The sequence below is a fragment of the Homo sapiens genome, chromosome 19 (assembly GCF_000001405.40).
Source record: "Homo sapiens chromosome 19, GRCh38.p14 Primary Assembly".
In the NCBI taxonomy this organism is placed as follows: domain Eukaryota; kingdom Metazoa; phylum Chordata; class Mammalia; order Primates; family Hominidae; genus Homo; species Homo sapiens.
In genome coordinates, this window is record NC_000019.10 from 39377981 (window position 1) to 39401623 (window position 23643).

A 23643-nucleotide genomic window follows, 5' to 3' on the forward strand; every position below is an offset into this window, starting at 1 on the left:
GGCCCCTTGCCCTTGGGCACGTCTGGGCTGATGGTGGATAACAGCCCTTCCCCTCAAAGCGTCTCCAGGCTGAGCAGAAATGGGGCAGTGGGTCAGAAGAAATTCCATGTAGTAAAGGGTGAGCAGTTGAGGGGAGTCCATTGATTTCTCTCAGAGGGGACCAAAGTCCAGGGGATGGGGATGGTGAAATTTATCACAGCTTCAGCCTTTCCTAAAGCAGCATGATACAGCAGACTTTACACTTGGATCCAGATCAGTCTAGATCTGGATCTGGACCTGAGGCAAGTGACTCAACTCTGAGCTTTAGGTTTCTAAGGCTAAAAATGTGTGTAGTGACAAGATTGTGTCAGGCACTATGTTGTATATCCTCATGATAACCCAAATACCATGGCTAGCACTTAATAGTTGATATTCATCCAGCCTGAGTCTCCTGTTCCTTCTTGTGCACGAGCCAGCTGGAGGCTGGAACATGGCAGAGGGCATACTAGGGGTTAACCTCCTGCCCTTTCTCATGTCCCCCCAGTGTGCACCCAACTGCTGGTGTCCCGACCAGACGAGGAGAACATCACCAGTTACCTCCAGCTCATCGAAAAGTGCCTGACTCATGAGGTAAGGCCTTCCCTAGCATACTCAAAAAGGGAAAGGCGGCCAGGCGTGGTGGTTCACGCCTGTAGTCCCAGCACTTCGGCCACCGAGGCGGGCGGATCATGAGGTCAGGAGATCGAGACCATCCTGGCTAACACAGTGAAACCCAGTCTTTACTAAAAATACAAAAAATTAGCCGGGCGTGGTGGCAGGTGCCTGCAGTCCCAGCTACGCGGGAGGCTGAGGCAGAATGGCGTGAACCCGGCAGGTGGAGCTTGTGGTGAGCCAAGATCGCGCCACTGCACTCCAGCCTGGACGACAGAGTGAGGGAAAGCCTGCCCCATCTTTCTCAAGACCATTGTGTTGTATGTGGCCCATAGGGCCTTACCTGACGTGGCACATGCCAGCCCTTCCAGTCTTGTATCTTACCAGTGTTGGCTTTAGAGGCTTCTTCTCAGAACCCTTGTACACACTCTTCCTCTCTCTCTCTCTTTTTTTTTTTTTTAATAGAGACGAGGTCTCACACTGTTGCCCTGGCTGGTTTTGAACTGACCTCAAGTGATCCTTCCACCTCAGCCTCCCAAAGTGCTGAGATTACAGGCGTGACGATTTTCTTTTTTAGAGATGGAGTATTGCTTTATTGCCTAGGCTGATCTCGAACTCCTGGCCTCAAGCGATCCCCTGCCCTGGCCTCCCAAAGTACTGGGATTATAGGCATGAGCAACCATGCCCAGCCCGTACATACTCTTTTGTCAGCAACAGTACCCTTTCCTCCTCCTCACCCCTCAGCTGTCAGTTCAAACATTTATACCTCAGGGACACCTTTACCAACCCCTCATTTTTATTTAAGTTTCTTTTGCTTCCTGTTCTTCTCCCTCAGGGAGGGATAATTTGTCACAGTTATCATCATGTATGTATCTTTCCCTCACAACCAGACTGTAAGCTCTCTGGGCATGGTCACCTCTGCATCCCAGAATTGCCTGGCACAGGCACAGAGTAGATGAGCAATGAATCTTTTTTTTGGAAACAGAGTCTCGCTCTGTTGCCCAGGCTGGAGTGCAATGGCGCAGTCTCGGCTCACTGCAACCTCCGCCTCCCAGGTTCAAGTGATTCTCCTGCCTCAGCCTCCCAAGTATCTGGGATTACAGACACACACTACCATGCCTGGATAATTTTTGTACTTTTAGTAGAGGTGGGGTTTCACCATGTTGTCCAGGCTGGTCTCCAACTCCTGACCTCAAGTGATCCACCCGCCTCAGCCTCCCAAAGTGCTGGGATTACAGCTTGAGCCACCACGCCCGGCCAGGCAATAAATATTTGAACAAATGAATGGAAGACTGGAAGGGAGGTCTGAAGGAAGCATCACCCTCTCTGCTTCACCGGTGTCCTGCCAATTCTAGGCTTTCACGGAGACGCAGAAGAAACGGCTGCTATCCTGGAAACAGCAAGTGCTGAAGCTCCTCCGGACATTCCCGCGCAAAGCCGCACTAGAGATGCAGAACTACCGGCAGCAGAAAGGGTAGGCGGGTGGCCAGGTTACAGGGACCTGCCCTCCATAGGCCTTTGCTGGTTAGCAGATCGTGCTTAGAGGGGTGATTGTGTTCTGGGCTGAGAATCTAGTTTTATTCAGTCACTGGGCGACTTTCCCAGAAGAAAATTTCCACTAGAATAGGATGCTGAGCTGAAAAACAACACATGTCCCATGAGCAGGCCCCTCATATGTACCTTGCTCCTCGCCTGTATGCAGAGGGCCTGGAAGTCCCTCCTTAGACCAGACAAATAACAGAAATGTCTCCTTTGAGAATTGAAGATTGGAGAACTGTTTTGAGTGGACAGTGAAGAAACCCTTGTACATGTCCCATCTCCTTCCAGGGGGTACCCTTGGGGCAGATGAGGACAGAATGTGTGATGGAGGTTTATGTTCTCTCCTACAACTTGGGGTTGTTGGGGAAGGTGAGGAAGGGGTGGACAGATAGGCCCCATCTATGTAAATTAACACCCTGCCTTCTGCTCTCTCATAGCTGGGCATTCGGCTCCAACTCGCTCCCCATAGCTGGCTCTGTGGGGATGGGAGTGGCCCGGCGTACCCAGCGGCAGTTCCCAATGCCTCCCCGGGCCCTCCCACCCGGCCGGATGGGCCTCCTGAGCCCCTCGGGCATTGGGGGTGTCTCCCCTCGACATGCCCTCACCAGCCCCAGCCTTGGAGGCCAGGGCCGACAGGTAAGCTGGCTGGAAGCAGGGGCCTGGCCTCCTGGGGTTGGGGTGGCAGTACCTGGGATGTCTATTTGCCTGTATACTCTGTGTCTGGACCCAGCTTAGAGGTGGCGGGGGTGGGAGTGGGAGAAGGCCTGTACCACCTCCACCACTCTTGGGTCTGGGCCTCTTCTGCACTCACTACTTTCTCTCTTCCTGGGACCTGTGTAGAACCTGTGGTTTGCCAACCCTGGAGGCAGCAACAGCATGCCCAGTCAGAGCCGCAGCTCTGTGCAGCGCACCCACTCGCTCCCGGTCCACTCGTCACCCCAGGCCATTCTCATGTTCCCTCCAGGTGAGGTGCCCCACCCTTGGGACTCTGCCTGGCCAACATCCTCAGCTGACCTTTCTTTTTTCTCCTGGGTCTCATGTCCACTGTTCTTCTAGACTGCATTGGCACCTCTCCCCATACCTCACACCACTCTGCACCCATCTCCCCCAATTGTGGGGGGTTGTTTTCCTCCTCTGCTTCAATTTTATCTCTCAGGTCTTGCCCCCACCCCTCTGAGTCATCATCTCTCACCCCTTACTCCTACCCCATCTCATGTTTCCCACCCTATGTCATAATCTTAGTGTCTGTGTTGCTCTTTGTCATCATCTCTTTCTTTACAGGATCATTGAATACTCAACTTAGAAGGGGTTGAGGGGATGGGACAGTTAAAGTGTGAGATTTCTGTGGAGGGGAGTCCTGCCCATCAGCCTACTGGGATTCTTTCAGATGCCAGGTGACCACACAGGAACCAGTGGACTTCACCTCTTAGAACAGGTGTTTGAAGTGAGAGGGCTGTTTTGACCTCTGCTTACAGACCATCCTGGAGATGGGAGAGCAGAAGTTGGGCCAAGTGCGGGCACAGTAACTCACACCTGTAATTTCAGCACTTTTGGGAAGCTGAGGCAAGTAGATCGGTTTGAGACCAGTCTGGACAACATGGCGAAACCCCATCTGTACAAAAAAATACAGAAATTATCTGGGCATGGTGGCACACACCCGTAGTCCCAGCTACTCGGGAGGGTGAGGCAGGAGGATCGCTTGAGCCCAGGAGGTCAAGGCTGTAGTGAGCAGAGATTGTGCCACTGCACTGCAGCCAGGGCGACAGTGAGACCCCATCTCAAAAAGATGTTGGGACAAGTGGGCAAAAGGAAGATTAGAGACTTGCTAACCGCAGGTCCCTGCCCTGCTCAACAAGTGAGGGGTTGACTCCTCCACACGGTGCTGGCCACTGGGGCTGCAGAGACAGATAAGGCTCGTCTGGAATGGGCTGACTCTAGAGAGAGCATGGATTTGCAGAATTCATGTCATAAACTGCCAAGTCAGTCAGGAGTCTTACTTGATGAGGTTGTGTAGACAGCCATCTGTTGAGGCCGTGGGAACCCATCCATCATGTTCATCCTAGCACAGGGCTTGACACACAGTAGGCATCTGTAAATGATGTTAAACAAGCAGGTGGATGAACCGCAGGAATGAACAAGAACCATTCTCTTTACCAGCATGCTGTGTCCCAGGCTTTGTCAGACAGCTCTCCTGCACTGATTGACTCCTCCCAACTGTATGTGTAAGGACGCTGATGTTATTCATCAGTCAGCAATCTGAGACAGGTCTTGCCCAAGTTCAAAAAAAAAATTCTTTTTTTTAAGGAGAGACAATTGGGTGATCTGATACGACATGAGCTCAGGGTTCAGAGGGAACAGTGATGAGAGATGAGGGTGGAGATGGGAGCTGGGTCGTCTAAATCCAGGTAAACAGCTCGGACTTTGTCCTGATGGCAGTGAGGAGTCAGGGAAGGGTTTAAGCAGTGTAGTGAGGGAGGTCAGGTCTGCCCAGGGAGGTGGGTGGTTTCCCAGATGCCCGAATAGGAGGCCCTTTTGAGAAGTGTGGTTTGAGGACAAGTCCCATGGTGGTTGTCCTACTTTGCCCCCACCTGCCTGGCCTGCCTGGATTGAATCCTGCCCAGAGGAGCAGGTCCAAGTGGGGACAGGAAGGGTTTTGATTTAGCTTTTGCACCAAGTACAGAGCAGGTCTTCAATCAGGGAGCCTTGGGGGCTGCCCAGTGTCCAGGGCAGATGCCCAGACTGTGCTCAAGACAGTATGCAGTCTGTGTCCAGAGTAGTCACAGCAGGCTGTGTGTGGCCTCCAGGAGCTCCTTCAGTTTCAATTCCACTCTCTGCAAGTCGGGCTTTTTCTGTATTGCCAAGCCTCTGCCATTGCCATTGTCTCCTCTGCCTGTTGTGTGACACGCTCGCCTCTCTCCCTGTCCACCTCCTCCCGTTCTTCCCTCTCCCCCTCCATCTCTCTTGCTCCCTTCCCATACCAGCATCCTTTGTCATCCCAGCTGTCTTCACCTGAGTCCAGTTGGTCCTTACCACCCCCATTCTCCTCTCTCCCACCCAGACTGCCCGGTTCCTGGGCCTGACCTGGAGATCAATCCCACTCTGGAGTCTCTGTGTCTGAGCATGACAGAACACGCCTTGGGTGGTGAGCATTTCCTCTTTCCCTGACCCAGCTCCCACCTACCCAGCGTCTCTGCCTCTGAACTGAGCAACTCAGAGTCATCCTGAGGGGTCCCCAGGGGAGGCCAGACTCCAGGGAGGGCCTGACTGGGATGACAGGCTACCTGAGTGCCTTTTCTTGGGCCTCCCTCCAGCTCCTGATCTTCCTCCCTTCCTCCCTTTCTTACCACAGATGGGACAGACAAAACCTCCACCATCTGACGGGACCCACAGCCCAGCGCACCCATAGGCTCCCTGGGCGGCGGGCGGGGGCCAACCCCCAACGGGCTTCTCCGCGACAGCGAGAGGGTGGGCTGGCTCAGCTATATATTCTAATATTTTTCTACTCTCTTACCCTCTTAACTTTTGTTTAACATTGGCACATGCCTTGCTCACTCCCAGGCCCGTCGAGGGATCTCTGCTGAGGCCCGGGGAGTTGGGGGCAGCCAGGATAAAGGGGGCAGGGACTGGCCAGACTGCCTGCCTCTCTCCTTTCCTTCCTCATCCCCACCTGGTCCCATCCCACCCCTGCCTCCTCCAGACCGCTGACCACCTGCCTCTCCCCAAGGGAGCAGACTCCCCAGAGACAAACTGACCACTACCTTGTGGAGCCTGCTCAGAAACATTTGACATTTGGGGTGACGCGCAGGGCAGAGAACCTGCCCTCCAGAATGTTATTGAGAGGAGCTGGGGAGAAGGAAGGGGAGCAAGGAGAGGAAGCTCTCTCTCCTCTCCCTGCTTCCCCTTCACCATTCCCCACATTCTGCAAGGACAGGAGCCACCTTCCTCTCTCTCACCTCCCCTGGCCCTGTTCACCAGAGGTTCTCTATGATTAATTTCTTAGGCCTATTTAAGATACATATTTATATAGTTCTTAACGGTTTTTCTCTGATCATTTCCTCTCATTTTTAGAATCCCCAGGTCTCTCTCAGCCAAGACAGTGGCAGGGAGAGCCTGAACTTTATGAGGGGAGAGGGCAGAGCCCCCTCCTCCAGACCCTCAAGCTCTAACCCATTTTCCTCCAGCCCTGGCTACCCGGATGAAGAGGTTGGAGGTGGGCAGCCAGGGTAGCCAGTGAGGTCAGGAAGTCTGTTGCCTTAACGTCCCCTTCCCCACGAACACACACCCTTCTCCGCTCCCAGGTCTGGTTGGTGAGACTTGGGAGTCAGGAATAAGGGAAAGGGGATTGTTTGGTTTTTGGGTTTTTCCCTAAGCCCCTCCCTTTTCTTTCAGCCTTTTTCCTTCCCCCATTATGTCATGACCTCACTTAAGTGGAACACTATATCATAACCCAGAGATTCGTCCCAGCCCCAGAGTCCGACAGACTGTCTGGTCCCTATTCCTAATGAGGGGTTGTGTTGGGGCCCAGGTGGAGGGAGGGGATTTGGGGGTTCAGACTGCGGGGAAGCCAGGGTCTCCCTCTTCAACGCCCTCCTCCCCCTCAACCCACCTTCCCAACTGGGACATTCTCAAGCTTTTCACACCGAAAAGGAAAAAAAATGTTATTTTTAGATACATTTTATGAATAACTTTTGTTATGAATATGGCTGGTAACCATTGTGTATGTTATTAAAGATACAAAATGTTGGGAAAAAAACAAAAAAAACAAAAAAAAAAAAAATTTTAAAACCACCACCCTCCCTGCACTATCACCCCATTCCCCAGACCTTCTTGCCCCCGCCCTCCTGGTCTGTGGACTTCCCTCTGCTCTGAGCCCAGGGAGGGGGAAGAAGCCAGGGGGTAGGGTGGCCCTGGGAACCTGGCTCTGGGTCCCCACTTCCTCTCCCAGTGCCGGGCTGGGTGGGGTGTCAGGTTTATTTATGTACCTCTTGCACACTCATCAACCTATGCAAGTCCCCCACCCCGGCCCTCCATGTTTCTGTGCCTTTGCTCATCCCCTCAATCTCCCAGGGCTTCTCCAGTCCCCCTCCCACTAGCTGCAGGAAGTGGGATGGATGGGCCACCTCGTTTGGAATCAGCAGGGTGTCCCTCTCATGGGACCCTCCCCTCTCCCCAGCCTGTCCTGTCTTGTTCACTCTCCATCAGGGTGAGCTGACTGTGCCTGGCACTGGGAGGTGGTGAGGGACACCGTCTCACACACACAGGGAGGCAAGAGCTGCCCCCCACCCCACCTGACAGCAGAGTGTGCAGGACGCAGGCGGCCCCACTCTGATGGGCAGGACCCTGACCCTCTCCCGCTCCAGCCCCCTCCCCAGGCCCTCCTCCATGATTTCACCCTCCCTACCCACTTCTGTCCCCGGCCCCACTGGCAGAATCAGCTTTGAGTAACTGTACAGTTTTTCTCGCTGTTGGAGAAGACTTATTTGTTGGAGTTTCACTTGTTTAATGGTCTGGGCTTATTTTGGAAAAAAAAAAAACAAACAAAAAAAACGAATTCTGACCTTCGTTGTGCTACATTTTGTGGGAAACCATTGGCCCTGCCTCTGGCCTGTGTTTCTAAGCCTCAAGCCAAGATCCTTGAGCACCTGGGGGTTGCGGGAGGTATGTGCTGGGCTGAATGACATCATAGGGGCTGGGAGGGGAAGTAAAGAGAAGTTGACTTTATTAACAGCAAAGGTTTGGGGGTGGGGAACAAACAAGTGAAAGGCTCACAAACAGACCACTAGAAAAGTGCTTTGCTGCTCACAATAATGGTGTCTGAACCAGCCCTGAATGCCCTGGGACTCAGTCACTGTCACTATCAGCTTCACTGGAATCAGAAGCTGCAGCTTCACTGCCATCCTCCTGGGCCGAGTGCTCGCTGCCACTGGGGAAGGGACTGGCGCTGCGGCTGTGGCTCCGGCTCCGCTGGCCACCCCCATTGCTGCCGCTGTCTGAATCATTGTCACTGCCACCTTGGGCCTGTCCTCTGTCCTCATCATCAGAGTCGGCATCGTCCTCAGAATCAGCATCACTGCCAAAGATCTCCTCTTTGTCACGGGCAGCCCGGGCCTCATCCTCGCTGCTCTCGTCCTCACCACTGCCACTCTTGTCACTGGCCTCGTCCCTGTCACCTTCCTCCCGTTCACTCTCGCTGCCCGAGTGCTCATCTTCACTGCCCTCCTTCTCACTGCTGCTGCCCTTCTCCTGCTCCTCATCTGGAAGGGAGTGGAGAGAGATGAAACCCACTTTTCCACCCTCCCAGGGCTCCCAGAGTCTGGCCTGTCCAGATTTACCTGAGCCCCCAGCTTCTTTCTCTTCTGTCTCCATCTCCTCTTCCTCTTCCTCCTCCGGTTCGTGGTTTTCTAGCTGGGCCTTCCGTGCCTCCTGGAAGCAGCAAGATTGGAATGAGGGGAAGGAGGGTGTTCTGCTGGGTTTTTGTCCCCCTCCTCACCTACAACCACCACCCTCCCTGCCATGGGTGCCCTGAGCCAGTGGTGCTTGTTACCTGAGCTTCCAGTTCCTTCTCATTCATGTCCCGATGTTTGACCACAAGCAGGGCGTTGGTGCCTGACTGAACCCCAGCCTTGGCCCGGCGCTTACTAAGGCGGACCCTGCAGGGGGTGAATTTGGGAGAGAGAAGTGGAAGATGCAGTTAAAGACACACCTCCCACTTCCCCGCCCCCCAGTGAGGGGTCTGGTCTGACTTGGTTCCCCATCAATACTTAGAGTAAATGGGAATAAATACAGATTGAATAAGGGCAGCTAAGCTCAAGGTATTGAGGGCAGGGGAAAGGAAGGATGGCTCCCATGGCACCAGTTTGGTTGCCCTACACTGTGTGTGTGTGTTATACGGTGTATTTACATAAATACGGGCATGGGCCATTTAACAGGGACACATTCTGAGATATACATCATGTGAACATCATACAGTACTCTTACACAAACGTACATAGTATAGCCTACTACATACCTAGGCTGTAATGGTGTAGCCTATTGCTCCTAGGCTACAAGGTTGTACAGCATGTGACTGTACTGAATACTGCAGGCAATTGTAATACAATAGTAAGTATTTGTGTATCTAAACATAGAAAAGGTATAGTAAAGATACGGTATTCTATCTTAAGGGACCACCATAAGCAGTCCATTGTTGACTGAAACATGCAGTGCATTACTGTATGTGTCAGTTAGTTACCAACACTTTGAGAAACCAGGAGATGTCAAATCATTTGGATTTGGGGCTTTTGGAAGATAGGAATTTCTGGCCCCACAGCACAGCAACAGTGGGCTGGAAGTGAATAGTGCCCTCCATGGTTGCCCAGAACTCCAGGTCACTCAGATGCTACCAGCCACTGCTCTTTTACATTTCCTGCCTGGCCTATGGGGTCACAGTTCTTGTAATCTCTGCTTTAAACAGAAACTCAAGACTTCCCAACTCTACACCAGAGGTGCTGGCATAGCAGTAAACTTTGAGCCATAAGGGAAGAGTTTTGGAGTCACATTTTTGAACATGGGTTTAAGCATTTCATTTAAAACATTCATGCTAATTTTATATATTACTCCATACTTTGGCAATGTTTACTTTCACATGAAGTCTGTTACTAATACTGGGAAACTTGGCCCTCTGCCTTGCGCAAAGGCTCTAAATGTCTCCTGCATTAAGATATTCTGGCTGGGCGTGGTGGCTCACACCTGTAATCCCAGCACTTTGGGAGGCCGAGGCAGGCAGATCACCTGAGGTCAGGAGTTCAAGACCAGCCTGGCCAGCATGGTGAAACCCCATCTCTATTAAAAATACAAAAAAAATTAGCTGGCCATGCTGGCACACGCCTGTGATGCCAGCTACTCAGGAGGCTGAGGCAGGAGAATCACTTGAACCCAGGAAGCGGAGGTTGCAGTGGGCTGAGATCACACCACTGCACTCTGGCCTGGGCAACAGAGCGAGACTCCATCTCAAAAAAAAAGATTTTTTTTCTGGCTCCTCCTGTTAGAACCAAGTCCAGCTCATGTGCATGACCAGACATCTGCTGCTCTTGTTTACCAATGCATATGACAAATTCTTAGGTACAAATGACCTCCAAGGTGGCTCTTGCATGCCCCAGGGTCTTAAGAAGCACAGATCCAGGCTAATCAGATAGGAGTGTGCTGAGTACCTGGTTTCCAACTCATTGTAGTAAACCCCGTCACCCTCTCGGAAGATGAAGAAGTAGTTTTCCTCATAGCCCTTGCTAGCTTTGTTCTTCACGTTCCAGTTGTACTCCCGAGCAATTTTGTAGTCATACCTGAAGATGAGGGCACAGGTTCAGCCCCATTTCTTCCCTATCCCAATCCCCAAAACTTCCCAATCCCCAAAACTTAACCGCAACCCACGCACACATCATCTGGTGCATAGTCCATCTCCTCCTCCTGGTCCCGCTTTCGTTTCTTCAACGTCTCTTCTACAGGCAGGAAATAGGCCACAAACTGGTTCCCTTCCTCATCCATCATGCCCCTGGTTGGGGGAAAAGGAGTAGCAATGAAGTGTGAGGACAAGAGGCAGCAAGGAGCAGGCCAAGGTGGACAGCAGGACCACCTACCTAATCATGGCCTGAGACATCATCTCCAACGCAGCTGCACCACTCGTGTCCTTGGGGGCTGGGTCTGAGTCAAAGATCACCTGAGCACATGGATTGATCCACATCTAGGGAGATGGAGGCACTGGGGTTAGATGGGAACAGGCACAAATAGGCTGTCCCTTTCTACCTCCCACCTTGGGCCTGACCTTAAAGTCTGGGAAGACAGGCATGACCTCCACCGGTGTGACTCGGGGTTTGCTGTAATGCTGTGAGATCTGGTGGAACAAAAACAAGGTGAGGAGGAGCTCTGCAGCCGCACCCTTGCCTCTCCCCATCCCAGTCCCTCAATTACTGATTTCTGGGCATCCTCAAAAGTCTTCTCAATGGCTGTGATCTGGCTATCCCTGTCTTTGTATATTTCTTCCTCGGTAAACTGCTGCTTCACAGAAACCCCAATCCTAGGAATGAAGAAAAAGGTCCTTAGGGGCCACTGGACACACCTAATATCTCCACCTTCCCTCTCTTCCTGTTAGTAACTTACTTGACCTCAGGCTTCTCATTGGAGATGCCATAACGGTTGAACTCAGTGGAGATGTACTCTGTCTTTCGCATCCATGGCACCACCTTCGCGTGCTGCTGGGATCTGGGGTGGGAAATCAGGTATCTCAGGACCCCACTGCCCTCCTGCTTGTAGGGCCCACCTGAGCCAGTCTCCAGTACCCATTTGCTACCCACTCACCTCTTGGAGCTGGTGGGGGCCTGAATCTCCTCTTCCAAAAGTTTCTCATCAGCTGGATCTAGAAGAACTAGAGGAGAGCGGGGGGCAGGAGGACCATGAGGGAGGCCCAGGCCTGAGCCTTTGCTGACCTAGAGCAGACCCTCCCTGTCTCCCCACACACCATTGGGGTCGATGCGGTAGGTGTCAGGATTGATGAGATCGATGGTGACCCCCAGGTCTGGCTCAGTCAGGAGGTCATGTTTGTGCTGTTTCTCCAAGGAAGTGGCTTTGTACTGGACGAACCTGGGTGGGGAAACACCTATTGTGGTGTTTGGATTCCAGCTTCACCCCTCACAGCCCTGCTTCCCAGAGGCGGAGCTTCTCTGGGGAGGAACTCAGAATGAAGTGTCCCCCATGGCAGAGTCTGAAAGCTGGCTCCCCAGTGGGAAGGGACTTGGACACTGCTTGCTCCATTAACAATTGAGCAGCTACTACTATGTGCTAGGGTAGGTACTGTGCTAGGCCCTGAGCAGACAGCAGCCAACGAGACAAGCAGTCCCTGCCTTCAAGGAACTCATACCTGAGTAGTTTTCCCATTCCTTAGTCTCACCTGTTCTGGTCGAAGGGGTAGGTGATGAACTTGGGGTCGAAGGGGATATCAGGGAGGCTATTGCAGTACTTGACTCGGCAGACCACTCCAGACCTAGGAACATTAGTGGCTCAAAAGTGGGCCCCCGCTGCCCCACCTCTGCTCCCAGCCCCACTGCCCCACCGCTCCTGGGAAAGCACAGTGGGGCTCACCTCTCAGGCAGAGTCCGGTGGGAATTGGGCCTAGTGGAGAAGAAAGAAACAGTGATAGGTGGAGAGGACGGGATTGACAGGAGAATGAAAAAGGCTTCCCCAACCTTTCAAAAGGTAGGAGGGGTGACAAATGCTGGTTTCTTTGGGTGGTGGTGTGGGGAGTGTCCAAATGCTTTAATGGAAGGAGACAAATGTTCAATTTATTTAGGAAGAAATGCCCCCAAAAGCTTTAATGAACAAGGCCAAGTGCTCAATCCCTTTTGCAGGAGATGGCTTCAAGTGCTTTAATAAAGAACCATGTACTCAATCGTCTTCGGAAGAGGGGTCTCCAAACGGTTGACTGGAGGGATCCCTTCTGGAGGGAGTCTCCAAAAGCCTAATCCCTGAACTGCACGGCGGGGAGGAGGGGAACACCTGAATCTCAGAAGGAACCCGCCCCCTTCGTCAAAGGTGAGCGCTTCATGACGTCACGGGCAGACCTGGGGGCTGGTGACGTTGTTCAGCAGAAACCCTCTCCCGATCCCCCGCCTTGCTGCAACAGAAAAGCGTGGCGCCTACCTGTGGCCATCCTCCCGCTGGGCCTGGGTCTGGATGGTGGGCGCCATAGCGACGAGGCGACGGCAGCCCGGACGGGGTCCTAGCGGGACCGAAGGGGGACGCAGAGGGGCGTGCCGACTTCAGGGGACGCCTGATCCGAGGAAGGCCCAGCTTGGCGCCGCTCCCCGCGGAAAGTGGGTTGAGATGAGGTGGGCGGGCGAGAAGAGCTCCAGCGAGACTCAGGTGAACGCGCAGGCAGCACCGGGGACGGACTCGAAGCTCCGGTTCCACCAACTGCCGCCAAGACGCTGAGGACCCAACGGGTCTCCTCAGGCCGCGACGCCTTCGGGGAAATGAAGTCCGGCTCGGAACCACACACGGATTGGCGAGCGTCTGGGTGAAGGGCGGAGCGAGGGAGAGAGGTGCTTCTGTGATTGGTGGAGAGATATCTCAGTCTGGACGCAGATTTGAGAGTGACGTAACGTTGGGGCACCTCCTTCCCCTCCATTGGCTTAATTGCCTAGGGGGCGGGACTAACTAGCAAACGGGGACTAGAAATAGGGATGCTGAAAAGCAACGGGGAGAGACGCAGTCGTAACGCACTTCCGGCGGTCTACGCGAGGAAGATGGCTGCATCCCAGCAGCAAGCTTCAGCGGCTTCCTCAGCTGCTGGTGTATCGGGTCCTAGTTCGGCTGGCGGCCCGGGTCCCCAGCAGCAGCCGCAACCGCCAGCACAACTGGTGGGCCCTGCCCAGAGCGGCCTCCTGCAGCAACAGCAACAGGACTTCGATCCTGTGCAGCGTTATAAGATGCTCATCCCGCAGCTGAAGGAGAGTCTACAGGTGATTGGCCTTAAGCAGCGAGAAGCAAACTGGATTTGGTAGTCTAGAGGGGCAGGCCGAGGGCCAGGTTAGTCGGAGAGAGCGCTAAGCAGAAAGAGGAATAGAACCTGCTGTTTTGGCCTGGCTGGTGCACGCCTGTGTTCCCAGCACTTTGGGAGGCCGAGGCGGGCGGATCACTTGAGGTCAGGAGTTCAAGACCAGCCTGGTGAAACCTCGTCTCTACTAAAAATACAAAAATTAGCCGGGCATGGTGGCGCGCGCCTGTAATTACAGCTACTCGGGAAGCTGAGGCAGGAGAATCGCTTGAACCCAGGAGGCGGAGGTTGCAGTGAGCCGACATCGTGCCATTGCACTCCAGCCTGGGCAACAGAGCGAGACTCCGTCAAAAAAATAAATAAATAAATAAATAAAACTGTTGTTTTCTGCGAGACCTAAGCGAAGCTCGGCAGAGATGGGATCAGCGCTGATGCTGAGGCTGGGACTGGCCGGAGCTTGAGTGAGGGGTTGTTTAAAGGAGAAACTGGGCTCTGGTCGTTAAAGCCTGAGGAGAGTACTGGCTTATACGGAGATTCTGCCCTTGATTGATAGGTGAGGGAGGACCCTTAGGTTATTGGCGAGAAGCTCAGGTGAGAGCGGGCCTCTGGGAGGATGGAGTGGTGACAGCTATAGGAATGGAAACGAATATTACTTTGGAAAGTCAGGAGGGAAGGTGCCAGTTGAAAAGAAAACCTGAGACTGAGTGATCTCAAGAAAGAGTGTAGATCTGCCAGAGGTATTCCCTTTTGTTTTTCCATTTCCCACGTGTTTTGTTTTTGTTTTGACTAGACCTTGATGAAGGTTGCGGCCCAAAACTTGATTCAGAACACTAACATCGACAATGGACAGTGAGTGCAGCCCCCTTTACCAGGATATTCTATTGCCTTCCCAGTCTTTGAAATTCATCTTTCCTTCTCCTGCTCCCCGCCCACCTCACCTTCTATATTTACTTTTTTTTTTTTTTTTTTTTGAGACAGGGTCTCCCTCTGTCACCCAGGCTGGACTACAGTGGCACGATCTTGGCTCATTGCAGCCTTGAACACCTGAGTTAGGAGATCCTCTTGCCTCAGCCTCCCAAGTAGCCAGGACTACAGACATGGCTACAGACTACAGATGCCTGGCTAATTTGTAAGATTTTTTTATAGAGACGGAGTCTTGCTATGTTTCCCAGGCTGGTCTCAAACTCCTGGCCTCTAGCCATCCCCTCAGCCTCACGAATCACTTCTCCTATTTTATTTTATTTTTGTTGTTGTTTTGTAGAGACAGGGTCTTGCCACGTTGTCCAGGCTGGTCTCAAACTCCTGGGTTCAAACAGTCCTTCCACCTTGGCCTCCCAAAGTGCTGGGATGACAGGCATGAACCATCATGCCCAGCCTTTTCCTTTTCTTTCTTTCTTTCTTTCTTTTCTTTTTTTTTTTTTTTTTTTTTTTTTTTTTTTTGAGACAGAGTCTTGCTCTGTCGCCCAGGCTGGAGTGCAGTGGTGTAGTCTCAGCTCACTGCAACCTCTGCCTCCCGGGTTCAAATGATTCTCCTGCCTCGGCCTCCCAAGTAGCTGGGACTACAGGCGCGTGCCAGCACATCTGGCTAATTTTTGTATTTTTAGTAGAGATGGGGTTTCACCATGTTGTCCAGGCTGGTCTTGAACTCCTGACCTCAGGTGATCTGCTCGCCTCGGACTCCCAAAGTGCTGGGATTACAGGCGTGAGCCACCGTGCCCAGCCTCCTTTTCTTTTTTTTTGAACCCCTCCGGTTTTCAACCACTACTTCAGATCTCCTGGACCTGTACCTGGTTTCCTGATGGACACTTGGTTGGGTAGATACTGGTGTCCCAAAGATTAGAAATCAATTCTTCAGACATCCTTTTTTCCTTGTCTGTAGAAAGAGCAGTGATGGACCCATACAGCGCTTTGACAAGTGCCTGGAAGAGTTCTATGCACTCTGTGACCAGCTGGAGCTGTGCCTGGTAAGAAGCCTTCTGGACACGGGGTAACAACAGCCGTGTCCCAGTCTCTGGGGTCTTCAGAAACAGTCAGTCAGTCAACTCACACTCAACTGGGGACCTCCTGTGGGCCAGACCTGTGCTTCCACCAACACTGAGGACACAGGGTTGCTCTGATCCTTGCCCTTGCAGAGCTTTCAGTTGAGTGGAATAATAAGCACACCCCTAAACAGTGACAGCTCAGAGTGGTCAGTGCTGTGATGGGAGAAGCCTAGGCCAGAGTGGTTAGGGTTATGATTGAGGAGGCACAGGCAGAGGGATCAGGGCTGGGATGGGGAAATCTCAGTGTGGAAGCCCAGGGTGGGGATAGGGAGAGAGTGGCTTAGGGAAGGCTACTGCTAGACAGCACATCTGACCAAGTCTGAAACAAAGAAGAGAAGAGGGGCAGGAGTTGAGAGGAGGGTAAGTGACTAAGAATACAGCCTCTGGAGTCAGATGCACCATCAATCTCTACCTCTGACCTCTGGGTTCCTCCTTAGGAAAACGGAGTTTCCAGGAAAACTTAGATTATGCGTGTAAACTGCTTAACATGATACCAGGCATATGGCAAATGTGTACTGTAGTATCATCATTATTTTGGACTGGTTTTTTTGGTGGGGGGGTGTGGGGGAGGACAGTCTCACCATCACCCAGGCTGGAGTGCAGTGGCACGATCTAGGCTCACTGCAATCTCCTCCTCCCAGTTTCAAGCGATTCTGGTGCCTCAGCCTCCCAAGTAACTGGGACTATAGGCATACCACGCCTGGCTAATTTTTGTATTTTTAGTAGAGATGGGGTTTCACCATTTTGGCCAGGCTGGTCTTGAACTCCTGGCCTCAAGTGATCCACCCGCCTCAGTCTCCTAAAGTGCTAGGATTACAAGCATGAGCCACTGCACCCGGCCTTTTTTTTTTTTTTTTTTTTTTTTTTGAGACAGAGTCTCACTCTGTCGCCAGGCTAGAGTACAGTGGCGCGACTTCAGCTCACTGCAACCTTGGCCTCCCAGGTTCAAGCGATTCTCTTGCCTCAGCCTCCTGAGTAGCTGGGACTACAGGCACGCACCACCACGCCCAGCAAATTTTTGTATTTTTAGTAGAGATGGGGTTTCACCATGTTGGCCAGGATGGTCTTGATCTCTTGACCTTGTGATCCACCCACCTCACCCTCCCAAAGTGCTGGGATTACAGGCGTGAGCTACCACACCCGGCTTTTTTTTTTTTTCCTCCAAGTCAGAGTCTCACTGTGTCGCCCGGGCTGGACTGCAGTGGCACAGTCTCGGCTCACTGCAGCCTCTACTTCCTGGGCTGAAGTGATCCTCCCACCTCAAAGTAGCTGGGACTACAGGCATGCACTGCCATGCCTGGCTAATTTTTGTATTTTTTGTAGAGACGGGGTTTTGCCATGTTGCTCAGGCCAGTCTTGAACTCCTGGGGTCAAGCAATTCACCCACCTCAGCCTCCCAAGCGCTGGGATTACAGACCGCTGTGCCGGGCCTGGCCTGGGTTTTGAAGGAAAAGTGGGAGGTTGAGAAGCTTGGTAGTGTCAGAACCATGTTCCAAACAGAGGGAATAACATTTGCTTTAAATTTGTTTTAGGAACATCAAGTAATTCATTCTGGCTGAGGTGTGGTAGGCATAGGGCTTGTTGGATTTTGAATATAATCCTAAGGGCACTGGGGAAGCATGGAGGGTTTCAAGCAGGGAAGAATATGGACCTATCTGCTTTTTAGGAATATACCTCTGGCTGACAAATGAGGGGAGGTTGAACCCTGGAGGCAGGAGCCCAAGGGCGCAGCCATGGCAGGATCCAAGGACGCCTGGACTGGGCTCCACCAGGGCGGGGTCGTGAGGAAATGGGGAAGACTGGGGGAACTTGAGAGGCTTCGTGTGCAGGGCTTTGTATATGGGCCACAGGACCGGTGTGCTGGAAGGAGATAAAGTTTCTAGGATGAGGCCCAGGACTCTGGTTTATAATGGAGGACTGTCACTGGGCCCGGTGATTCATGCCTGTAATCCCAGCACTTTGGGAGGCCGAGGCAGGCGGATCACAAGGTCAGGAGATCGAGACCATCCTGGCTAACACGATGAAACCCCGTCTCTACTAAAAATACAAAAATTAGCCGGGCGTGGTGGCAGGCGCCTGCAGTCCCAGCTACTAGGGAGGCTGAGGCAGGAGAATGGCATGAACCCGGGAGGCAGAGCTTGCAGTGAGCCGAGATCGCACCACTGCACTCCAGCCTGGGTGACAGAGCGAGACTCCGTCTCAAAAAAAAAAAAGGAGGACTGTCCCCGAAACAGGGACCTAGGAGAAGCAGTTTTGGGGAGTACAAGGGCCCTACAAATGTCAGGGGGAGGCCAGCGACAGTGTGGGCGCCATTAGTGCAGAGGTGGAAACTGAGTGGTGTGCGTGGGTGTGACAGCCCTGGGAGGGCTTGAACAGTGAGAGAAGACAGGGCCTAGGAATGGCTGCACTTACGTCTTAGGTAGTGTAAGAAGTACCTAGAGCTGGTCAGGCGCGGTGGCTTGTGCCTGTAACTCCAGCATTTTGGGAGCCTGAGGCGGGCAGATCACAAGGTCAGGAGTTCAAGACCAGCCTGGCCAACATGGCAAAACCCTGTCTCTACTAAAAATACAAAAATTAGCCAGGCATGGTGGCGTGCACCTGAAATCCCAGCTACTTGGATGAGACAAGAGAATCTCTTGAACCCGGGAGGTGGAGGTTGCAGTGAACCAAGATGGCGCCACTGCACTCCAGCCTGGGTAACAGAGCGAGACTGTCTCCAAAAAAAAAGGGGCCGGGCACAAGTGGCTCATGCCTGTAATCCCAACACTTTGGGATGCCAAGGCGGGTAGATCACGAGGTTAGGAGTTCGAGACCAGCCTGGCCAATATGGTGAAATCCCGTCTCTACTAAAAATACAAAAATTAGCCAGGCTTGGTGGCATGCACCTGAAGTGCCAGCTCCTCTGGAGGCTGAGGCAGAAGAATCACTTGAACCCAGGAGGCAGAGGTTGCAGTGAGCCAAGATCGTGCTACTGCACTCCAGCCTGGGCAACAGAGCGAGATTCCACCTCAAAAGAAAAAAAAAAAAGCCTGGGCGCGGTGGCTCATGCCTGTAATTCCAGCACTTTGGGAGGCTGAGGCGGGTCGGTCACCTGAGGTCATGAGTTTGAGACCAGCATGGCCAATGTGGTGAAACCTTGTCTCTACTAAAAATAAAAAAAAAATTAGCCGGGTGTGGTGGCGGGTGCCTGTAATCCCAGCTACTCGGGAGGCTGAGGCAGGAGAATCACTTGAACCTGGGAGGCGGAGGTTGCAGTGAGCTGAGATCGTGCCATTGCACTCCAGCCTGGGCAACAAAACCGAAACTCCATCTCAAAAAAAAAAAAGAAAGTAGTACCTAGAGCAGCCAGAGAAGCAGGCAGAAAACCAGGGGTGAGATGCCACTGCCAACACCAGGCCTGGAGCCAGGGCAGTAACAATGATAGTAGCTAACAGTTCTTGGCACTTTAAACAGTGTGCCAGGACCCGTGCCTGTGTCTCATACACCTGCTCTCACTGTTCTCACCTTATGAGGTAGGAAGAGGTGGTTATTAAACCCGTTTTCCAAAGGAGGAAACTGAGGCTCAGAGAAGAGTAGCCGCCATGCCCCCAGGTTCCCCAGCAAATGACTGGCAGGGCCAACCTCTGACTCTAAGACCTGGGAAATCCAGAGGCCAAGCCGACAACCCCCAGCTGGCCCTTGGGGTGGGGTAGAATGACCTCGGGTGGAGCTGATGCTGTCCCCTTGCCTGCCTGTCCACAGCGCCTGGCGCATGAGTGCCTGTCACAGAGTTGTGACAGTGCCAAGCACTCTCCAACGTTGGTGCCCACAGCCACCAAGCCCGACGCAGTGCAGCCTGACAGCCTCCCCTACCCACAGTACCTGGCGGTCATCAAAGCCCAGATTTCCTGTGCCAAGGACATTCACACCGCCCTGCTGGACTGTGCCAACAAGGTCACGGGCAAGACACCCGCACCACCTGCTGGCCCTGGGGGCACTCTGTGAAGTGGGGGACAGGGAGTGGGGCAGGCAGTGGTTGGTGGGTGGTGTGCAAAGGGAATGAAGAGCGTCCTGGGCCTAAACACAGCAGCCTCCTCTCTTCCTGCCTGAGCACCGCAGCGGGAGCCAGCAGGGGGCAGCAGAGGCCAACAGGGAGCTCGCAGGCCGGGCCCCTGCGTCCCTGCCCCTTCTTCCTGCTCCCCCTCCTAGCCTAGGGTAGACTTTGAACTGTGTGTGTTGATGACTTCTCTGTTCCACAGGCCCTCCCCCATTCTTGCCTGGGTGTGGAGCCCTGGCTGTCCCCTCTCCCTCAGTCCTTCCTGACTGTCTCCAGCTGGGAGGTGGTCTCTGTGTGCCACTCCTCTGTGTCTCTATTACAGTTGTGTCTCTCTCATCCTGTCTCTTTTTCCCTTGTTTCTCTGTTCCTGTTAATGTGTTTCTCCCCATGGTCCTATTTCTCTCACTCTGACCTCTCTCTCTTAGTCCCCTTTAGCTGTCTTCTATCCCCAGCTCCTAACTGGGACTCTGTGTCTATGCAGGGGGCCAGCACCCCTGGGTTATCTGGGGCTAAGGGAAGGGACTTCATTTCCAGGGGCCACAGCCAAGCCCAGAGTCCCCCAGCGGCTCGCATGTCAGCCCAGACCCCAGGGTCCTTGGCCTAGGAGAGGAGCAGTGGAGGGGCCCAGGCTCTGAGCTCCACAGGTCTGAGCAGGGAGCAACTCAGGCCCCCACCCAAGCCTGCGTCAGCGGAACTTGAGTGAGGGGCGTTGTGCAATTTGTGGCAAGGCTGGCCCAGCTGGATGCCTGGGTCCCAGTATTTTTAGCCCCAAAGGAGAAGTGAAAAGGCCCCAGCCGGGGTGAATCATCAGTCCTGGGGAAGAACCCAGGCGCCTGAGCCCCAGCTCCGGGAAGCAGGCACTGGGGAGGGGGCTTCAAGGAGGGAGTGCCCCCTCAGACTCCCTGCTTCCCTGGAAGCTTCAGGAAGCTCAGCCTCAGCCTTCAGGCCTGAGCAAGTGCAGGGCGGAGCTACCAGCCCAGGCTCAGATGTTGGGGTGTGAAAGCCTCAAGTGACTCAGCCTGGTTGGAGAACTGCCCCACCCAGTATCTTCTGTGCCATGGTTCCCACATTCGCACTCCATGGCCTCCTGTCCTGGACCCCACGTCTGCAAGGAAACCCTAGGACCATGGATACCTCTGTGATTCACGCTGAGCCCAAGTCCCCACACTGGAAAACTGGGAAATGGCCAGCTGTGTGTCCCAGGAAATTCCTCCCCTTATTCTTCCTTGAAGTGCCCGAGCATGTAGGGCAAGAAGGAAGGCTGAAGCGCTGTCCCTAGGAGGAATTTCTCCTTCAGGGGAGCCTCAGTTTTGCCCATTTATCTAATTGAATCAGTTTTTTACCCAATCCCCCGATTTTGTAGGATAATCTCCCTTATCTAAAGTCAACTGATTATGGACTTTAATCACATCTACAAAACACTTCCATGGCGACAGCTAGATGAGTGTTTGAATAACTGGGACTGTAGCCCGTCCAAGTTGACACATAAAACTGACCATCGGGCCGGGGGCGGTGGCTCACGCCTGTAATCCCAACACTTTGGGAGCCCGAGGCGGGCGGATCACAAGGTCAGGAGTTCGAGACCAGCCTGGCCAACACGGTGAAACCCCGACTCTACTAAAAATACAAAAAATTAGCCGGGTGTGGTGGCACACACCTGTAGTCCCAGCTACTCGGGAGGCTGAGGCAGGAGAATCGTTTGAACCTGGGAGGCAGAGGTTGCAGTGAGCCAAGATCACACTATTGCACTCCAGCCTGGGCGACAGGGCAAGACTCTGTCTCAAAAAAAATAAAAAACTGACCATCTAGTCCTTGTCATCTGGGCACCCTCACACATCTCCTTAACCACACTTAATCTCCAAATAAGTACGATAACATAGTCATAGTCCCACCCAACATGATGCAGTTATCTTGCATACAACTGAAGACAACTAACCCTTTCCCCAACAGAGCCCACCAGCAGTGGTGGAGATGTCGGTCCATGAGCGCACACACAAGACTGAGGGACTGTCGGCCCTCCCAGGTGGTGTCAACACAACATCACACACAGGTGGGGGGGCCTGATAGCCCAGCACCCATGATACAGGGCCTACCAATGCTTAAAACCACACCCAGGGAGCCCACAGAGGCACTCAGTGGGTGGTGGGGTGATGGATACACATCTATCAGGCACAGGGCGGAGGTGGGCACCACTGAGTTGCACTCAGCAAACACATTGGGTATCTTGTGCCCAAGGCCTGTATTTGTGGAGCTGATGTTCTAGTGAGAGACAGTAAATGTGACAAAAGTAAAATATATCAGATGGTGAGAAAACAGAAAAATGAGATCAGAAGTGGAGATGTTGGGGCCAGGCACAGTGGCCCAGGCCTGTAATCCCATCACTTTGGGAGGTGCAGGCAGGCAGATGGCTTGAGCCCAGGAATTCAAGACCAGTCCGAGCAACATAGCAAAAGCCCTTATCTGCAAAAAATTCAAAAATTAGCCAGGTGTGGTGGTGCGTGCCCAGGTTCCCAGGTACTCGGAGGCTGAGAGGTGGGAGGATGCCTTGAGCTTGAGAGGTTGAAGCTGCAGTGAGCTGTGATCGCACCACTGCACTCCAGCTTGGTTCATGGAGACCCTGTTTTTTTAAAAAAAGAAGTGGAGGTGTTTACACCAGCAAAATACTCATTTTTTAAGTGTAATTAAGTTGAAGATCAAAAAATGGAAATGTATAATTAAATCATACTTAGCAAATCTAACACATGAAATGTAACATCTGCATATGGAGAATCGTGTTACTTTATTGAAAAACATTAAAAGTTTGAGAACTTAAGTTGGATTGTGGTTTCGTGAGCATTCATTATGGTTTATATATGTTCCATGTATTTATTATTAAATAGATGACAAGGGTTTTCTTATTCTTGTTTATATATGTTTGAGACCAGTCTCACTCTGTCGCCCAGGCTGGAGTGCAGTGACGCCATCTCGGCTCACTGCAACCTCCGCCTCCTGGGTTCACGTGATTCTGCTGCCTCAGCCTCCCAACTAGCTGGGATTACAGGCGTGCATCACCACACCTGGCTAATTTTTGTATTTTTAGTAGAGACGGGGTTTCACCATGTTGGCCAGGCTGGTCTTGAGCTTCTGACCTCAAGTGATCTGCCCGCCTCGGTCTCCCAAAGTGCTGGGATTACAGGCACAGGCACGAGCCACTGCAGTGGGCCTTTTAATTTTTGTTTTAATCCTTGACAGAGGTCAAGGAAGGCCTCACTGAGAAGGCGATATTAGAGCAGCCCCGAAGGAGAGGGAATGAGCTTGGGGACATCCACACATCCAGGCAAGAGTGCTCCAGACAGAGGGAACTGCAAGTGCCAGGGACCTGGGACAGGAATGTGCTGGGATTTATGGAACACATAAAAAGGAGGCTTGGGCACAATGAGGGAGCAGGGATAGGAGAGGAAATCCAGACAGGTCACAGAGGGCCTTGGTGAGGACTTGGGTTTGCTAGGTAACTAAACCCAGAGGGAGACTACACAGTCTGGTGCACACTGCATGCTCCAGGGACGGGGTGTACGTGAGGTGCACAGCCACCACAAAACAGACCGTGGGGACTCCAGCACACAGCATGTCTGCCCCACTGCAGAGCTAACCCACCATCCTACAATCATGGTGCCCCCAGGGACCCCATCCCATTGACAGTCCCACAAACATACTTTCAGGGAGCAACCCAGCCACATGAATACACAAACAACCCTCTAACCACCACTTTACCAGATAAGCTATCTCTCACCCCATCGCAGACTTTGCCCATCACAGGCTGACTCAGCCCTGTCCTTAGCCCAGCACTATCAGAAGCAGCCTCATCGGCGCTGCCCCAGCTTCTCAGGTACTCA

At 52.9% G+C, this 23643-nt stretch overlaps 3 protein-coding genes across 54 annotated transcripts in view, besides 3 other annotated features; 2 read left to right on the forward strand and 1 right to left on the reverse strand.

The window, feature by feature from the left end:
* The window catches only part of SAMD4B (sterile alpha motif domain containing 4B), a 48344-nt gene extending 35560 nt beyond the window's left edge, over window positions 1-12784 (forward strand). For 14 of the 48 annotated variants that reach the window (NR_169272.1, NR_169273.1, NM_018028.4 and 11 more), the window contains 6 exons: window positions 524-609; window positions 1986-2104; window positions 2607-2805; window positions 3010-3133; window positions 5228-5311; window positions 5519-6908. Coding sequence is in view for 44 of the 48 variants with exons in the window: in NM_018028.4 (NP_060498.2) it covers window positions 524-609; window positions 1986-2104; window positions 2607-2805; window positions 3010-3133; window positions 5228-5311; window positions 5519-5547 (641 nt within the window). In the remaining 4 variants the exon portion in view is untranslated. Of the gene's footprint in view, window positions 1-523; window positions 610-1985; window positions 2105-2606; window positions 2806-3009; window positions 3134-3644; window positions 3733-5227; window positions 7721-12545 lie in introns of those variants that run through there. The other 34 variants (NR_169271.1, NR_169274.1, NM_001384594.1 and 31 more) reach the window with 5 other exon arrangements.
* Window positions 7649-13126, reverse strand: PAF1 (PAF1 component of Paf1/RNA polymerase II complex). 3 transcript variants are annotated; one of them, NR_046384.2, is made up of 14 exons: window positions 12838-13126; window positions 12280-12309; window positions 12089-12181; window positions 11500-11566; window positions 11302-11403; window positions 11113-11218; window positions 10967-11035; window positions 10782-10885; window positions 10580-10696; window positions 10359-10487; window positions 9179-9247; window positions 8714-8819; window positions 8502-8592; window positions 7649-8423 (listed from the first exon to the last, which is right to left on the reverse strand). NR_046384.2 is itself a non-coding variant. In NM_019088.4 (14 exons), exons 1-14 carry the CDS (start codon window positions 12882-12884, stop codon window positions 8011-8013), a joined length of 1596 nt encoding a protein of 531 aa, NP_061961.2. In that variant the 5' UTR covers window positions 12885-13126; the 3' UTR covers window positions 7649-8010. The 3 variants fall into 3 exon arrangements, 2 of the variants coding, with proteins under 2 accessions (NP_061961.2, NP_001243755.1); NM_019088.4 differs by lacking the exon at window positions 9179-9247 and adding an exon at window positions 11660-11781; NM_001256826.2 differs by lacking the exons at window positions 9179-9247; window positions 12280-12309 and adding an exon at window positions 11660-11781 and having other exon boundaries at window positions 7649-8239.
* Window positions 11784-11915: a silencer, noted in NCBI's record as "fragment chr19:39880404-39880535 (GRCh37/hg19 assembly coordinates)". NCBI's record gives its function as "represses an EF-1alpha promoter that drives an FKBP-Casp9 reporter gene in an ReSE screen in K562 erythroleukemia cells {active_cell/tissue: K562}" and the evidence as "EXISTENCE:reporter gene assay evidence [ECO:0000049][PMID:32094911]".
* Window positions 13398-22661, forward strand: MED29 (mediator complex subunit 29). 3 transcript variants are annotated; one of them, NM_017592.4, is made up of 4 exons: window positions 13398-13658; window positions 14484-14542; window positions 15573-15657; window positions 19477-22661. In NM_017592.4, the coding sequence occupies exons 1-4, from the start codon at window positions 13443-13445 to the stop codon at window positions 19717-19719; spliced, it is 603 nt and encodes a 200-aa protein (NP_060062.2). In that variant the 5' UTR covers window positions 13398-13442; the 3' UTR covers window positions 19720-22661. The 3 variants fall into 3 exon arrangements, 2 of the variants coding, with proteins under 2 accessions (NP_060062.2, NP_001304699.2); NM_001317770.3 differs by having other exon boundaries at window positions 19547-22661; NR_133915.3 differs by lacking the exon at window positions 14484-14542.
* Window positions 13453-13742: an enhancer, noted in NCBI's record as "active region_14613". NCBI's record gives its function as "activates an Ori minimal core promoter by ATAC-STARR-seq in GM12878 lymphoblastoid cells {active_cell/tissue: GM12878}" and the evidence as "EXISTENCE:reporter gene assay evidence [ECO:0000049][PMID:35858748]".
* Window positions 20341-20390: an enhancer, noted in NCBI's record as "active region_14614". NCBI's record gives its function as "activates an Ori minimal core promoter by ATAC-STARR-seq in GM12878 lymphoblastoid cells {active_cell/tissue: GM12878}" and the evidence as "EXISTENCE:reporter gene assay evidence [ECO:0000049][PMID:35858748]".
* Window positions 22662-23643: the final 982 nt, after the last annotated feature.

Coding starts and splice junctions, on each gene's coding strand:
- PAF1 (NM_019088.4), bottom strand. CDS start 12,884: ATGGCGCCCACCATCCAGACCCAGGCCCAGCGGGAGGATGGCCACAG. Junction 12,182..12,279: donor CACCGGACTCTGCCTGAGAG/GTGAGCCCCACT, acceptor TAATGTTCCTAG/GTCTGGAGTGGTCTGCCGAG. Junction 11,782..12,088: donor TACCCCTTCGACCAGAACAG/GTGAGACTAAGG, acceptor TTCCCCACCCAG/GTTCGTCCAGTACAAAGCCA.
- MED29 (NM_017592.4), top strand. CDS start 13,443: ATGGCTGCATCCCAGCAGCAAGCTTCAGCGGCTTCCTCAGCTGCTGGT. Junction 14,543..15,572: donor ACTAACATCGACAATGGACA/GTGAGTGCAGCC, acceptor CCTTGTCTGTAG/AAAGAGCAGTGATGGACCCA. Junction 15,658..19,476: donor ACCAGCTGGAGCTGTGCCTG/GTAAGAAGCCTT, acceptor GCCTGTCCACAG/CGCCTGGCGCATGAGTGCCT.